Genomic DNA, 17940 nt, shown 5'->3' on the forward strand with positions numbered 1-17940 from the left:
AATGTGGCACATATACACCATGGAATACTATGCAGCCATAAAAAATGATGAGTTCTTGTCCTTTGTAGGGACATGGATGAAACTGGAAACCATCATTCTCAGCAAACTATCGCAAGGACAAAAAACCAAACACCACATGTTCTCACTCATAGGTGGGAATTGAACAATGAGAACACATGGACACAGGAAGGGGAACATCACACACCGGGGACTGTTGTGTGGTGGGGGGAGTGGGGAGGGATAGCATTAGGAGGTAGATATACCTAATGTTAAATGATGAGTTAATGGGTGCAGCACACCAGCATGGCACATGTATACATATGTAACTAACCTGCACATTGTGCACATGTACCCTAAAACTTAAAGTATAATATTAATAAAAAGAAAAAAAAATATTTTTCTTTTGTGTTGACCTTGAAAAAGTCGGATGACTTATGTTTCTTAGAGGTGGTCTTTTTGTACAGTATGTCACAGGACTTCTCTTAATTTCTTGAATTTGCATGAAATTTACTAGAGAGAATTGACCTCTCTAGTAAAATTGGAGAAATTTTTGTGGACTGTATACTCAAATATGTTTTCCAAGTTGCTTACTTTCTCTCCTTCTCTCTCAGGAATGCCAATGAATCATAGGTTTGATCTCTTTACATAATCCCATATTTTTGGAGGCTCTGATCATTTTTAAAAATTCATTTTTCTTTATTTTTGTCTCACTGAGTTAATTTGAGTGACTGGTTTTTGAGCTTTGAATTTTTTTCCTGAGCTTGGTCTAGTCTGTTATTAAGGCTTTCAATTGTATTTTAAAATTTCTGTAGTGAATTTTTCAACTCCAGAAGTCCACTTTGGTTTTTTCTTAAAATGGCTACGTCATCTTTTAAACTCTTGGATTGTTTTACTTGTTTCCTTGGATTAGATTTCATTTTTTTCTTGAATTTTGTTAAGCTTCTTTGCCGTCCAGATTTTGAATTCTATGTCTATGCTTCAGACATTTGAATCTGGCTAGGGAATTACCGCAATCCTTTAGAGGTGAAAAAACACTCTGAATTTTTAAATTGCTAGAGTTCTTGCACTGATTCCTTCTCATCTGAGGAGGCTGGTGTTTATTTTCCTTTTTGAAATTGCTGCTGTTTTCATGGGGCTTTTTGTTTTTATATTCTTTTTTTCCTTTGAAGCCTTGACTGTGGTGTGTTGTGTATAGTTGATTGGCTTTTTTTCTGGCTGCTTTCAGAGTGCTGAGGCTGTGTTTGGGTTTCTTTGTTGTAGATTGCTTCCTGCATTGGGTTTTACAGGCTTTTGGGTGCTGAAGGAATTTTTGTTTGTTCATATAATTCAGGCTCTAGTCCAATAGATGGTGCATAAGAGTAAGGGCCAGCAGATGGTCTCTTACATACTTCTTTTATATCTTGATGCATATGTAGCAGTGCTCTGGGGAAGGGGAGATGGGAGGGTGAGAGATACCTGCCCCCACCCACCCTCCAAGTCCATTCCAGGGCTTTGGTGGAGCCTTTTCCAATCGTTGGCATTGTTCCTGCATTTCCTTAGTCCCATGGGGGACCTTGTTGGGCTGCATTCTCCCCTCCTTTAGGGGTGGCCTGAGCCAAAGGTTAGATTGCCAGGAAACCTGTAACTCCCCAGGAACCTGCTGGTCCTCTGAGCTTGGCAGGGTCAGAGTGGGCTGTGGGATATGTCTGTGAGTGGTCTGATGATACAGGGGTCAAAGGCACATGATCCTGGGCAGGGCAGTGGTGCCATAGATGTGAAATTGGTATGGTGCCCACAGCCCAGGGATTTTAGTCCAGCTGATGACTGTGGGGTCCACCTAGTTCATGCTTTTCAGACTGGGTCTCCTTCTAGTGTCTTCCCTAGGAGCAGGCCCGCCCAGCTAGATTTGTACCAAGCCTTCTTGTGCTCATATAACTGGGCTCTTCCACGTGTTCAGGGCTGTATGGTTTCCTTGGGCAGAAGCTGTGGCTGGCCAACAGCTACACCCTTCCTGGACCAGTCTTGCAAAGGGAGGGATGCCTGGCTCCTACACTGGCACACAAACCAGCACCTCACTCTTCTTTGTGTCCCAAGAGTGGTGGCTCCTCCTCTGCCCAAGCTCTGGCCACAGACCTTAGCTCAATACCCCTCAGGGTAGTGTGCTCGAATCCTAGAAAGTTGGGACTTAGCCCACAGCTTTGTCCTCTGGACCCTCAGGACTGAGTACTGGCTGTGCTGAGGAGTCCGAACTGCTCTCAGGCTATTGGCAAAACATCCGGGTGGGGCAGTGGAGGCTGAGCTGTGTACACCCTCCTGCGGGAGCAGCCAGGTAGGCAGTTTTGGGAGGGGTTGGCAGACAAGGGGGCACAGAGATCAGATGCACCTTAGTACCATGGGAGAGGTAGCCCTGCTCTCTGCTGGCTGGCAGTCAGCAGGGGCTGCAGCCAGTCAGCAACATGGAGAGTCTTGGAAGAGGGATAGTTGTGGTTCCGTTTTGCTGTAGCTGCCCCTTGTAAGCTTCTGGGCTCCGCACAAGACCAAGCTCTTCCTCTACCTACTCTCCAGGCAGATCCCCTTGCCAATGCAAATGTCTGTGGGGGTTGTGGTATCTCTTGTGGCCAGAATCACAGAAGTCTGTGGTGGAACTGTGGGTTTTTTGGAGTTCCTTTACTCATCCCTTCCAAAGGACCTGTTCAGGACCAGCAACCTGTCCTGGTGCTCAGTGACTCTGTGTGGGGCTTCCCACTTCCTCCTTCTTCAGCTTCAGTGTCTGCATCACCTCTCTATTGACTTTAGCTGTTTTCTGTCAAAAGATCTGTTCGAAATGTAATCGTTTACTTGATATTTTGGTTTCTCTCTGTGGGACAGGCACCTCCCCACTATGCCTAGTTAGCCATCTTGTCCCTTCCCAATCTTATTTTAAAATTATACAAAAATAATATAATAACTTCCTTATTTCTGACCTCATAGCGTGTGATAAATAGGTCTCTTCATTCTTCATTTAATGTCGCTATCAAGGATAATTATGAATTGTTTTTCAAAATTAGTGAAATAGATTCTTATGGTACCACTTTAATAAGAAATGACTAAAATGTTCTTATTCCAAAGAAATAAGTCTGTCATCTAATGGGTGTATTAATTAGCTTGAGTCACTCATTCCACAGTGTGTACACATATCAAAATACCATGTTGTATACCATAAATACATATAATCTGTGTCAATTAAGAAATAAAACGTTAAAGAAATCACTAAAGTTTACTAAGTTGCTGTAAATGTTATTTTAACACATTGTTTCCACTTCTTTCCATTGAGTGAAGCTCCTCTAGTTGTCCAAAGTCAGCTTCAAATACATATACTCATCTAAAAAACTGAAAAAAGGTTTTAGGGAATGTCCTTCTAACCAGCCTGTTTCCCGGAGGCAAGATTAGAAATATGACTTTGATGGTAACCATCCTTTGATACAGAAATGGAAACAATCTCTCAACTTGGTACTCCAGGTTTGAACTTTAAGACAACCAAGTTTCATATTCAGTCCACAATTAGCTCTTGCCCTCACCGTCTGCACGCTATAGTTCCATCTTTATACTCATACTATAATCAGCATCTACTGTTTGCAGCCCTTGAGTATACCCATTAACCTGAATTATTTTGAGGGGAGACCCCTCTCTTATACATGTCTGCATCCTCCACATAACCCAACATAGTAGATGTCCAGTATATTTTTGTTGGTTATTTTCTTCTTTAACTTTTGTATACATTATCACAATAAAGTCCTTCTAACAAGTTTTGTCTCTGTTATCATTCCTTGTACTTTTCTTCCCTCCTCTCTTCTCTCAGAGTAAGAGGGTAGAAATCAAAGTCAGCAGCTCTTACTCTCAGAGTGAGGTTCTTTCTATTGTTCTATGTCTCTCTTGCTTTTTCAATTGTTTCCTTATATCTCTCATTTTCTACAAGCATACTTTTCTCTTTCCCACCTTAAAACAATCATAAAAACTTTTCTTTGAATCTCTAACCCCTTGACTTAACACTTTTTCTCACCCTTCTCATTAACAACCTTCTATAGAAGCTAGCCTTCATTTCCCACCACTTGTCCATCATTTCCTGGGCCTTCTTTAGCTTGGCATCTGCCCTGTGGCTCCACTGAAACTCCTTTCTTTAAACATCACTCTTACTTTCTAATTCCCAAACCAAACTCTCTAAAGCCACCCTCCTTCAAACTCTCCTCTCTGGCCATCTTGCTTTTACTCCTGTCTCTATTAGCCAGTCAGCCTCCTGTTGCATATTTCTATCTCCTAGAAATATCCATTGTGTTTTTCACCAGGATCTTAAGTATATAGAAACATAAACTCATCATTTTCTTTCCCTTTTTTCAAACCAGTTTTGCCTCTTGACTTCTATATTTTTGGTAAGAAAACTACCATTCATTTAGTGAACTTAGCACCAAACCTCAGTACCATCTGACAGTTTTCTCTCCTTCTCTGTGGATATCATTAAGTCCTAATAGTTTTACCTGTGTCATTCGTGCCTTCATTTTTATTCTTACTTTCTCTACTCTGGCTTTGCCTCTCATTAACTTGAACTACTGCTACCAAGATTGTATAAGTTGTTTTGTTTCTATTTTTCTCCATTTTTGACACACTTGGAACATCCTAAAAAACTTTTAGTCTTATTTTTATAAAGGAAAAGTTGTATTCGTCTCTGAGCTGAATATTTCAGTCTTTCCTCATGTTCTAACAAATATATTTTAAACTCCTCGGTATGGTAATCAGATTGTTCTAGTCTTCACTTTCCTTTGCTATGATATCTAGTCTGTATCCTGTGTTCTAGTTCCTTCTCTGTTATGATTGTCTCAGGTTTGATCCCAACTGTCTCTTGGTTCACCTCAACTATGGAGGACTTTTTCTATAAGAAGTTACTCTAATTTAAAAAGATATTTTAATAATTAAAATTATCTTTATCAAAGGATAAATTGTGCTTAAGTTAGTATGTTACTAAACATGGGACTGTGCATAAAGAGAGCTTTAAAATTCCCACAGCTGCTCCTCTACCTCCAAGGTTCTCAGCATAGACAGCGGCTTTTTATGGCCAAATAGAGGAATGCCTGTTAGGCATATTTATGCTGCATCCTTTTTGCACATCCTGAATTCATCCAGGAGAAGAAAAATGATGTGCTTCAATTGAAGTGGACCTATCGTTTTCTCTTGGCAGCCAAAGGAGGAGCAAAAAGTCCAGATTGTGTCCTTTATCTTGTAGGGATTGCGATGGTGAGGAGATATGAGGAAGAGGGGTAATAGCATCAGTTATCCCAGGGAAAGCAGTCCGTTTACTTGGGCTGGCATGTTTTCTCTTCAGATACTTATACAATTTACTTCCTCACCACCTCATCAAGTCTTTGTTCAGATGATCCCCTTCTCAATGAGGCCTGCCTTAATGACATCTAAAATTGCAACCTATTTTCCCTGGGCACTCCTAACCCCCTTTGCCCTGCTCAAGTTTTTCCTCCCATAGTGCTCCCCACCTCCTGACATTCTTCATGGTTTACTTGTTTATTATGATCATCGTCTGCTGTCTTTACTAGTATTTAAGCTCTATGAGGGCAGGTCTCATTGACTATTTCGTTATTACAATATACCCAGAATGATGCTGTAGTAGTAGGTGTTAGTAAGTGCTTAGTAATTATATGTTGAATTAAGTAACAAAATAACTTACTCAAAAAATAATTTTTGTCATGCCCTATATATGCTAAGAGCTGTGCTGGTGATGGGGACCTATAGTGGAAAACAAATAGATTTGGTCCTTACCCCCTATCTTGCTATCTAGCCAAGAAAGCCTACACCAACATTACAATAAAATGAGATGAGTGTTTTGTTCCAGGAACACTGTGCTACACAAGGGATCTCATGTAGGAGGTCACTGAAGACTTCCCTGAACAAATGACCAAGCTGAGACTTGAGGATGGTTAGGAGTTGGCCAAGTAAAGAATGACAGAAGGAGGATGCCTCTTCCAGGCATACTTTAAAGCATTACTGGTTGAAGGAATTGTAATAAGTCAAGTGGCTGGACTATAGAAAGAGGAAGGCAGGCTGGCCCTGCAAAAAGAGAGGCAGGGAAGAGGTTGAGAGGCCTTTCTAACTCCTTCTATGGAATTTTCACTTTTCCCAAAGGCCCGTGGATTCTCCGTATACTCTGCATTACCCCATGTAATAAAATGCTTTTCAGAATATGAACATCTTCCAGTTGACTTTGTTCTCCATTAGACTGGATAAATACTTTGTAAAGAAATATGCACTTGGTCAAAGTAACTCTAGGTATAATATCACATCTTTATTTTTAGCATTTGTGGCTGTGGAGCAGGCACAATTCTGGCCATGGTATGTTTGGTTTGGCATTAGCTAATACCTTGTTGTTTAAGTAATACTCAGATCTTGCTGAAAACAGCATAGCACATTTTAGCGTTAATCTCCAGAGTAATCAGATCAGTGACACATACTGGGGAAGCAAAGAAAATAGGCTTAGGAGGTATCAGATATCTTCGTTTGGTAAAGACCTACATTGATATGGGTTTCCTCTAATTATGTGTTAAGATTCTCCTGCTTTCAGTATATAGGCCAAAGTTCAGACCACATTATTGAGATAGGTAGAAATTTGCTTTAAACTTCCTCTTAATACTCTCCCTTTCATCATCTCTTCTTTTAGAGTTTCCTTATGGACACAGTAGTGTCCTGCTATTTTCTGGTTGCCTAGAGGAACACCCTACCCTCACTATTACATGGTATTATTGGATGTGCATCTAACCAATCTGTGCTTTCTGCCACTAACAAACTCAAAACTCACTTCTCTTTTGTCCCCTCCCTTTTGGGGCTTCCTAGGTGATGTGTCGTCTAATCTCTTGTAATGCTAATTCATGCTGATATCTTTATGACTACAACATCTCTTGGAAGTATTTGCATTTTAAATGATGAACTATGCATTAAATCAGTTTGCACTCATGAAACTTCAAGCTTCAGGGAAAAAAACTTCAAGCTAGAGCTGGGAAAATCATGTTGCTAAGGGAAAAATAAGAATACAAGGTGGGACTTGTAGTCCCTTTAATTTGATCCTTGCATGTCGTATATTTGGTCAGTTTCTAAGGCCTGTCAGTTTTCACAGATAAAAGATCACAAAAGCTTTACTCTCTTCTGAGTGTCTGTGGTCCCCTACACAAATTTGCAGGACTACTTAGTACTTTAGAGCACAAACATCAGTCTGGAGGTAGAGATGGAGCCCTTACTCATGATAGTCACAAAAGTTGATCTATTGCTTAACTTCTTAGAGACTTGCTTATATTTTTTCCCCTTTTTCTAAAATACACTTCTTTCTGTAGTATATTAAATAAGTGTTAATGATTGTCAAAGTATTTCAAAACTATGAAATGTGTATATATAGGAGATAGTAATTAAATGCTTCCTTTTAGAGTTCTAAAGATGTTTTTTGTATAAGATTTCAGATAGCTCCTCTGAAGAATTCCAGCCTATTGGAACCCAAATCCTGATGCATATAATAAAGTTTAAAAGGCTTATTTTTTATGTATGTAACAAGAACTCACCTTTATAACTTCTTACGTGAGTGAAGTAAAATTGTTCCATATAAGAGAAATGCATCCTCTCCAAATACAGCGTGCAGAAATAGCATCTGAAGATTTATTACAGAAACAAAACAAATGGTGCGCAATTAAAATAGGCATGTTCTCCAGGAAAAACATCCCCAGCAGGCTTCAAAATCCTGACTCTACTTTTGGATTTGTCTGGTCTGGTCTGGCATATATACCAAGAATCTAAAGTATTTTAGGGTGATGCAATTTTTTATTTCAGTGATCGTGATGATACGAGAAATCAAAGAGCACTTGGGAAAGTGTGATTCAAAGCTGGGACCAACAAGATGCAGTATCCATGGATGTCACTGACCTGGCTTCCCGCCATTATGGCCACCAATTATGTGTGTCTTTCACTGAAGCGTCAACCACACCTCTGCCATCAGGTAGACCATCTGCTCATGAGACTTGCCCATGTGAGCCTCGGTTGTTCATTCCCGGGTGGCTATTAATCAGGCAGCAGCTTGGGAACATTTCCAAGTGGCATTTTTGGCTGTTGCCCCTCTCTGGGCCTCTGGGGATCTTAGAATGGTCCATTCTCTCTATACTCTAAAGCCAAAACCAAAATCAAAACCAAAACTATTCCTGCCAGCAAGTCAATTAATTAAGAAATCAAGAAGGCCCTAACCTCCTTGAAAGATCAAGGAGAAACTTTTTTTCACTTTAAATAAAAGTCCAGATTTTGAAAGCATAAAACACATTGGCAGTCATTACAGTTTTCAAGCTGATGGCAATTCGATATTTTATCTCAACCTGTATCTTTTGTGTCTGCTATTTTGCCTAAAGGATTTCAAAGGGTGATACAGAAAAGCGGGAAAACAGAGAAATCAGCTAGATGAACTAGCATTACCTAAGGGAGGGTGTGCTGGCTTGGATTATTCCAGGTTTAGATTTGAATCCCAGCTCCATTATTTCTCAGCTGTCTGTCTTCTAACAACTTACCACCAACTTTTCACATGAAGTTTAGATAATGAGCATAAAGCATCTAACAAGAAAGTAAAGAAGATGTGCTTGTTCCACTTCTCCATTGGAAAGCAATTGTTACAGAGAGTCTATTGTGTAAACTTTACCAGTACCATAACTTCCCACATAGCTGAAGGTCAGATTTCTGCCACAGTAATTACCAGTGACAAAGCTATGAACACATAAGTTAGTTAAAGGATGAATGGGTTATCTTCTATAAAACTCATGTACTTCTCTTCATAGGATTAATAAAGAAAGCACTAACCCAGAGCCTAACCCAGATATATATGAAACGAAAATATTAGCTCAGGACCTCAGGTATAATAACATCAAAGAAAAACTAACACCAGCTGAGAAAGAACTTTATAGAAAAAACATGACACTAAATAGTTCAGGCCATTATTTTAGGAACAAACTGTGTTGCAATAGAATGATTATCTTGTGCCATTAAAAGAAGACTGAATTAGGTCTGGCATATTTGTTTTATAATATAATGCCATTAAGGGATTAAGATTTGAGCAAATAAATAGTTTTATCTGGGAAAATGTCATCTTTTGGAATATCACATTGACAGATTAAAGACATATTACTGTATTTTTTTTTACTTCTCAGTGACGGATAATGCCTTCCTACAGGTGACTGTTTTTAAAAAAATAATTCCCCTCTCAAATAATTATAATAAGTCAACAGTGTCTTTCAATAATTTTGGTGGGCTCAAGAATTAGCATGAGTGTATTATTGGTGTATTTTTATTTTATGAATTTTTCTTGTTATGGGATAGGGTTTCTTTCTACGGAACAAACATTTTTCACAAGGAGCTTTTCTTCTCACAATGCATTGAGCAAATTAACTGAGTTAGTTTCCAAGCCTATTACTGGTGGAAATTTAGAAAATTTAGACTGGGAAAAGTCAAGTTAATGCTGTGGAGACATGCACACGTAGATACAGAGGCAAAAAACCAAGCATGCCTTCTTTCAGCCTGTTTCTCTTACTACCATAGATCAAATGGTGGTATTAAAACTAAGATTTGAGGATACTCATTTTTAAAAATTATTATTTAGTCAAGGTAAGGTTTGGGTTTTGGGAGGAAGGTTAATTCTGAGGACATTTGTGTATTTAGCCGATAAGATTTCTGAATCCGATTTGTCTGTCTTCTTGGCAGATAGAAATTGGCAGTTTTCCTCTTTAGACATATGCTACTATATATTGCTATGACAAAACATATATGCAAAGGATAGAATGACCATATTATTGTGTCTCCAGGATGGTCCTGACTTATGCCTATGTCTTGGCATTTTGTCTGTTTTGTCATTTATTCAGCATTATTTTATTTTTAAAACCATTATCATTGATGTCAGATTAAAAATAAGCCAGGTTGAGTTCTACCATGTTCTCATTCAACAGTATGTGAGGTGCATGTATAGTAAGCAACACCCTTCCCTTAAATTGTGAATAAGCCAGGAAGATAACTATTGATAACCTGGCTCTGTTTTCCCCAACCCTTTCTGGAAGCAAGGTAGGTGACATGTCTCCTTCAATGACAGCATGGTCTCTGATAAAATAAAGCCCTTTTGGACATGAGCAGATAAGGAGAACTAATTGTTTCTGATCTTAAGTGGTGGTGGAGAAAGCTCTTGATGCTTCTGTTCCTACTGACTGGTTGGTTTTTCAACTAGTTGGGCTGTGGCTCATGCATGCAAGGTGCATAAAACCTTCAGGCCACCAGCATGCTGGGCCGGTAGGAATCATGGGAAATTATACATTATGTGTAGACGAAATGTCTGTGCATAGTAGAGCTTGAGCAGTCCTGCCATAGTGCATGTAGACCTTGATGTGAATATTACTGCTATAGTGAATTTGTCATTTCCTGCATGGTGTGAATCTGTACTTAAGTATTTGTTTAATCTATGCAGACAGAATTATTTCAGTTACTGGAGAAAGCTTACAACCTGAATGGCTTATAATTACAGCCCTTATTTGGTTTATCTTTCTTTCTGGAAGCTAAGTGAAATGAAAAAAAAAATACTTTGGGAAGGTTAAACTTATTAAAGCCTGGAGTTATAATTTCTATTCATTTGTCAAAGGAGTGATCAACAGATGGCCACAAATCTGAGGATCAGTTTGTCATTATTTGTTCCGTTGTTAACAATCTGAAAAAAATTTTAAATAAACTCATTTGGCACCAATTGGTTTTAAAAAATATATTTTAATGAAAATTTCAATTTCTCAAGTGATTAATTAGTAGGAATTATGTATAAAATGCTTATTGATATTTACCATCCACTAGGGGGGCAATAGTGATCTCAGTTAACCACATAAAAACCAAAGACACAAATCTGCTGAAGGAGCATCAGAAGCTGGTTGAAAAACCAGCAGTTCTGTTCAGAAGACTGGATGTGAAGAGGATGATTTAACACATGTAGCTACAGAAAGTACCCTCATCATCACTCTGTAAAGCCTGCCCTGTCATTTGGAATAAATGGCTGTTTTCCTGAATTAATTTAGCACATTTATTTTAGTTTTTTTGTGTGCAAGAAGTGAAGCAAGAACTATTAATGTGTTAGTTGTATTAGAAGAGTTTTATAAATATTTAATGGTGCTAGTTTTATGGAAGTGTCATTAGATGCTTAAAATAGAAAAGTCAATAAAGCAAATTCCAGTAATGCTTTATTTTCATTCCATTTATGGAATAAAGGTAAAAGTTTGGAAATGTTGAGGATAAAACATTTGACACTATTATAAATGCTACTGTGGATTCAGTTTAAAATTCAGACATGATGATTAAATTATTTGTTTTTGCCATAATATGGTTACATAGGCTGGTGGAGGACAGAATCATCATAAAAATCACCTTACTAAATTAAGAACTCTATGGAGCAAAAGGTTACTTGGAATTAATTTGTGGTGTGTGTATATTTAATAATTATTCCTAACCAAACTGATAATCTACCAGTTTTGATATTGTACCAATTGATATGAAAATCATGATTTTCAAAATTTATAAATATTTTGTACATACAGATTTAAAATAACTGATATCCCAAATCAGCTGAGGATGAAGTAAACAAAATGAAACAAGAAAACCCTTCAACAGAGTAGTACATACTTTATGTCTTTGCTATTCATACATCTGATTTTAGAAATGTTGGAAACTTTGTAGCATCTCTTTGCATATCAACCTGAGTGTCCTGAAATCATATTAAAATATTTTAAAATTGGTTACTTTAAATTTTGGTTATATATTGTTTCCAGTCAGTTGGGTGATGCCTTTGATCAAATTACTCCGTGCATGAAGTGCCAAAATTTCTACCCTTGAGGCTTTTAGTGAGTTGTAATTGCTGGGAAAAAAAAAAAAAAAAGCTTACGAACACTAAGAAAGTGGAATTGATAATTGATTTCTCCTAAAATGTGGGAAGAACCAGCCATGAAAGCTTAAGTGATGTACAAATTATGAAGCATAGAAATAGTTAAGATTCATATGCAAAAGTTTCCAAAGCTTGATTTAGGGAAAATTGCTTAATTTAGCAAATGTTAAAAATATTATAATACTAATTCTGATTGAATTTAGCAAGATCAATGAATTTATGCCTAAGAGGAAACTAAAAAAGAAATTTACTGAGTGTTCATTATATGCCAGCAACTTTCATGGACTATCTCATTAAATCCTCATGACAGCTCACTGAGATAAGTTAAAAAAGATCTAGTTGTTTTCTAGATGAAGACATGAGGGGTTGAGAAGTCAAGTAACTTGTCAAAATCCTCACTAATACATAGGATCTGAAACTAGATGTGCTCGATAACAAAGCTCACTTCTTCATTGCTACTCTATTCTGCCTCTGTTTAGTCAGGATCAAATTGAAGTTATCAGAGAAAGCTCTTATAACCCAAATGATTCACTGTTACAGCCCTTATTTGGTGTGTGTTTCTTTCTGGAAGCCAATCAAAATGGAAAGTTATATTTTGTGGAAATTAAACTCATGAAAGCCTGAGTTATAACTTCTACTCTGTAGTCTAAGAAGTGCCAAGAAGGTATACTCAAAAGTCTTGTAGCTCCATTTAAATCATGACTGATATGCAGTACAGAATGATGAGGTTGTGAGATGACATCCTCCCAAGTTTGTAATTGTCAAGACCTCTGCTTTAACCTTAGAAATTTGCCATCCAGGAAAAAATTCACGGGGGAACCTATGTAAATGCTTCATGATAAGAAGTAATTGAAGCCAACATTCATAGTTGGGCAATTAAATGAAGACTCCTTTGTAAGACAAAAAGTAAGGAAAAGAAAGTCATAAAACAGGAACATTTACACGCTAGAAAACTAAGAGGCTGAAACTGTGTAGTACAGACCAGTCTTTTTCAAACTTGCCACATGTCACAATTACCTGGGATATTTACAATGGTGTATATTTATATGCCCCACTGAGGACTGCAATATCTGAATGTGTGGCAGGGAGATCTGTGTGTGTTTTTTGGAGCTTCCGAAGGTGATTTTTTCATCAGCCAGGATTAGGAACTACTAGGCCAGAATACTCCCAAGCAACAGGAAGCTGCTGCACTTTGGTTAGTTGGGAAAAAATGCCCAAGAAAGTAGTGGATTTCCTTAAAAAATTTTTTGGGGGGATGTGTATACATTTTTGGGATATTTAGAACCAGAGGCAGCTTCCAAAGCAACTGGCCAGTTCAAGCTATTTTACCACCTGGGCTACAGTAAGCAAAAGATGATATTAGCTTGGTGCACAAGTTATTGCAGTTCATTGAAAATAATGGGAAAACTGCAATTATTTGTTCACCAACCTACTAGATGGCCTAGGCCTAACCCCTACCCCAGAGCCTGTGCTTATGGAGACGGGTGTTCCCTGACTTCTAGAGGGAAGATATGGCCAGCAGCAAAGGGCAGAAGACTACATTTGGCTTTTATAATCACATGAAAAATTGTAGTGAAAACACATTTATAATTTATTAATGCTATATGAGCAAATATTTTCAGCTTGTGGATAATACTTTTGCTAATAAAAAATAATAATTCTAGATTTTTGTGAATTCTCCTGAATTATACGTAGGTACAATGTATAGGGAAGGAATGTACTTTAGATATGGTGAGCTTTATTGGCACTACTTTATTTAGTAACCTGATGACTATCCTCTTTCTTCATTCCCCTTCATTTTTTGGTCCCTTGTAAAATTTCTAGTGAATTTCTACAACCATGCTATACCCCTCTTCATGGATGCGTGCCTTCCCATCTAGTATGTTACTTTCTATCATTTCCTCCTTGTGTCACCCTTGGGAACCATTGTTATCATTGTGATCAACAACAAATATTTTTTGAGCACCTGCTATGTGTAGGCTATTGCAATAGGTATAAAAATAGGTTTAAGTCATATTTCCTGTAGGGAATAGACTTTGATCTAGTTTGGTCAGAGGAAATTCACTAAGACCAAGTGCCAAGTGGCTAAGGACCAAACAGATGGTCAGAAAAGAGAGACTGCAGAGGACTAGGCAGATGCAGTGAGACATAGGTAGGGCTCATGTTGAGCCCTGAAGAGAAAATTAGGACTTCACCTGATAGAAATAAAGAGGCTATTGAAACACCAGCAAAGACACAGAGGCAGAGAAGGTGGTGGTGCCTTTGTGAAACTATGAGTGGACCATGTGGTGGGATGGTTTGACTGTTTTTCTTAAGGGAGAGGATATGAGTTGTAAGTTTGGGACCAGTCTTCATAACTCTTGGCCTGCGATTTGGTGTAGGGACTTGTAGGCGGAGGGAAATACTAATAATCTACTCAGATGATTGGATTGGCTTTTTATTTCTCCACCACTTCCTTTAGCATCTTACTACCAATTAGTGTGAAAAGATTCAAAGATAAGGAAAACAGTGGATATAGATACATTTGAGTTCAAACTGCCAGGTGAAGCCAGAATATTCAGTGATCTCAGTTCTAAAATTATAGAACCAGAGACTTTTAGGGGCACTTGCAAATATTATTTAGCCTTTTCATTTTACCTTATCTGGATTTATCTAAGACAACACAGAAAGTTATCAGCAGAGTCACACCTAGAATACAGATCAGTTGGCTACTGGTGTATAGGTCTTTTCTCTGCGAAGTATGGCTCTCTGGCTCTCCTGTACTATGCAATATTAGAGAGTTTTATTCTTTTTCAATTACCAAATTATTAATTGGAAGGACTCTGATGCACTTTTATTCCTAAATATGTTTCATTATTGATTTTAAATGTAAACCAGTTGAGAATAGAGGCCAAAGCCCTGTAGTGAGACTTAGGATCCAGAGTTCCACTGTAAACTCTGCCTTCTGTTAGCTTATGTATCTTAGGTGACTTCCATGACCTCTCTGGGGCTCTAGTTCCTCATCAGGAAAGAAAGGAGGTTCTATTAGAAGGACACTAACGTATATGAGTCTTTATTTGCTTTGAATTTAATAGTTTTCATGTCAGAAATATTACTTGCCAGAAAGTAGGATTATATCACAACTGAGTATATGTAGTTTGAGAATCACAAGATTTCTTCTCTGGATACATGTATACTGATGTGGTTGGTTATTCAACTACTATTCAAGTAATTCTTGAATCAGCAGTTGGAGTTGGCATGAGTGAGTGGGAGCACCAATAATTGTGGTTCTGAAGTCTTAACACAAAGAAAGTGATTTTGCCTTCTTTTGCTGACTCTAGGCAAATTTAGCAAGAAAGAAAAAAATCTGTAGAGATGGTTTTGACTAAAACTTGGCATTATGTTTTAAGTCTGTCTACAAAGATACCCATTCATGATCAATGAATGCTTATTAAATTAGATGAATGGGTAGGTCCCAGAGGGAATTTCATTGCCCAAATACAAAAGCACTGCCCTTCCATAGAAATTCTCACATATAGTGATAGGCCATAGCTTTCGGCAGTGAATTTAACTCTATTTTACCCTCACATTGTCTAGTCATCATTTCCATGGATCAGGCTATCTGGCTTGAAAAAAAAGCCTTGAGTTGTTTTCTTTAAGAAAAAGTTGTGTGGCCTTTTTCTACTCTAAGTCCTGATACTCACTTGGTGCCTTTATTTTCTGTGTGACAGTGACACAACAAAGTTCCAATATATTAACATTTTCATCTCAATTGACAATTTTGGAGCAAAAAAAATTTCCCTGTTCTAAAGAGACAGAGATAGACAGAGGGAGACAGAAAGGGTAAACACTGAGATATTGAAGAAGCCGTTTGTAATTAAAATATAAAGTACTGGTTTCTCTGGGAGGAAGGAATCTGTTCCTAGCCATTGTGGAAAGAATTGTCTTGTTCCTGGATGATATATTTTGTTCTTTTTTAGTTTTCTAATCTGTGAAAGCAAAACCACAGTGGGATTTTAAGGGAATGGCAAGTTGAGGCTAAATTGTGAGAGGCATATATAATAAAGGAAATTATGAGTAAAAAGTACTAGTTAAGATATAGGCTTGAGTGCTGTAATGCAGAGACTCAAAACAAGAGCGACTTAAATAAGGCAGCAAGTTGTTTCAGTCTTGCTACTAGGCATGATTTCTTTACCACAGGCCTTTTCTAGCTTGTTGGTCTGCCACCTTTAATGCATGGCTTTCATCTAGCTGTTCAAGGTGGCTGTTCCAGCATTGCTCATCCCACATACATTTCAGTCAGCAGGAAGAAAAGTAAAGAGGCATATAAGCCCTTTCCTGTTAAGGACATGACCAAAAAGTTGCATTATCAACCACTTCTATTCACATTTAACTGGCTAAAATATAGTCACCTGGTTACATCTAGCTGCAAGGGAGTAGTCTTTCATTTGGTGACCATGTGTCCAGCTAAAAATTGTTAGTATGTTAGAAAAGAAAAGGAGCAGTCTCTGCCACAGGAAATAAAATTTGTTTTTGAATCCCTGTACTCTTAACTATTTATATTAATAATGATGGAAACTATAATAATAATTATACAATCTACCATTTATTGAATTCTACCTGCTTCATTACATTTTATCCTATGTAATCTTACAACAACCCTAACAAGGCAAGTAGTTATGTTACAGAGAAGAAAATCAAGGCTCAGAAAATATCATCAACAACCTCAGACACATATCTAGTAAATAGCATCTTTGGAATTGTAGGTAAGTTCTCTGATTCCTGGAGGTCTCTGAAGTCCAAGATAAAGAGACTGAATTTTCTTCTGCAGTATGTCAGCAATGGAACTGAAGAAAATTTAATGAAAATTAGATCAGGGATGTGTGTGGGAGTTCAGATGCATTGTAATGTGGAGTAATGGAAGGCAGAAAAATGGCTTAGAAGATGACTACATAGGATAATGGGGCCTTAAATTGACAAGGGTGAAAATAAAAATAAAAGGACTAATTCAGGAGATGTTACTACAGAGCACTGTATGAGTCTAGAAAGAAGATGGAAACTACACTAGTTATTTGCACACAGAAAATATAAAGAAATGTTAACTAGGTATAAAATTAGTAACTAGATAATGAAAATGATTATTAATTAGTTAATAAACAGTGAAGTCTAAGGTAGTGGCTTTCAACCCAGGGTAATTTTGCCACCCCAGGGAACATTTGGCAATGTCTGAAGATGTTCTTGGTTGTCACAACTTGGTGGGGAGATGTTGTTGGCATTTAATGGGTAAAGGACAGGTATACTGCTAAACATCTTTACACAGGACAAGCCTCTATAACAAAAAAGTATGCAGCTTGAACTGTCAATAATACCAAGGCTGAGAAACATTCCTCTAAGGTATCAGAAGGTAGTGACTGCAAGAAGCAGCCATCCCTAAAATTTAGATAAGTGAAGGGGTCTTGTGGTGCTAAAACTTAGACCTCTAAAGAGGGGGCATTTGTTGGCTGATGCTGAGGTCTTGGGGGTGGGGTGGGGTGATGACACTGGTTCTGCTCATCGTTTTAGAACCTGTAAACTGAACCCAGCTGATCAGAGACACTTTAAATTGGCATGCTGGTATATAAACAGACATTGAACGCAGGCAAAGAAGAATAAAAAAATGATTTTGAAGTCTAATGCTCAGTTAGCGTTAATACTGAGAGAAGTATTTCGCCAATTACTTGGTCTGGGGAAAAAGATGAGTTCAGTTTTAGTTTGTTGACTTCCAGATGGAATCATCCAACAGGCAGTAGGGAGGATTGCAGAGGATAGGGACTGAAGATAAAGATCTGAGTCCTCCACCCAGAGGTCAAACTTGAAGTCCTAAGAGGAGATGAGATCAGCAAGGGAGAAGCTGTGGTGAGAAGAACAAAGTGTTGAACACTTAACTGTCAGAATTGCCCCATTTAGGGACAGGGAGTAAACATTTGACACTATGCTTCTGGCATCATTATCTTGGAAGAGTTGTTAGATTTTTGATTTAGAAA

General features: G+C 37.9%; 1 protein-coding gene across 8 annotated transcripts in view; it reads left to right on the forward strand.

The window, feature by feature from the left end:
* Positions 1-17940, forward strand: part of ADAMTSL1 (ADAMTS like 1) — a 1004318-nt gene that overhangs the window by 123547 nt on the left and 862831 nt on the right. The window contains exon 1 of one of the 8 annotated variants that reach the window (XM_017015310.2): positions 1129-7996. The exons of the other annotated variants lie outside the window; for them this stretch is intronic. Coding sequence (XP_016870799.1) covers positions 7898-7996 — 99 coding nt within the window. The 5' untranslated portion in view covers positions 1129-7897. Of the gene's footprint in view, positions 1-1128; positions 7997-17940 lie in introns of those variants that run through there. 8 annotated transcript variants of the gene reach the window in all.

The sequence above is a fragment of the Homo sapiens genome, chromosome 9, assembly GCF_000001405.40.
Source record: "Homo sapiens chromosome 9, GRCh38.p14 Primary Assembly".
NCBI classification, from domain to species: domain Eukaryota; kingdom Metazoa; phylum Chordata; class Mammalia; order Primates; family Hominidae; genus Homo; species Homo sapiens.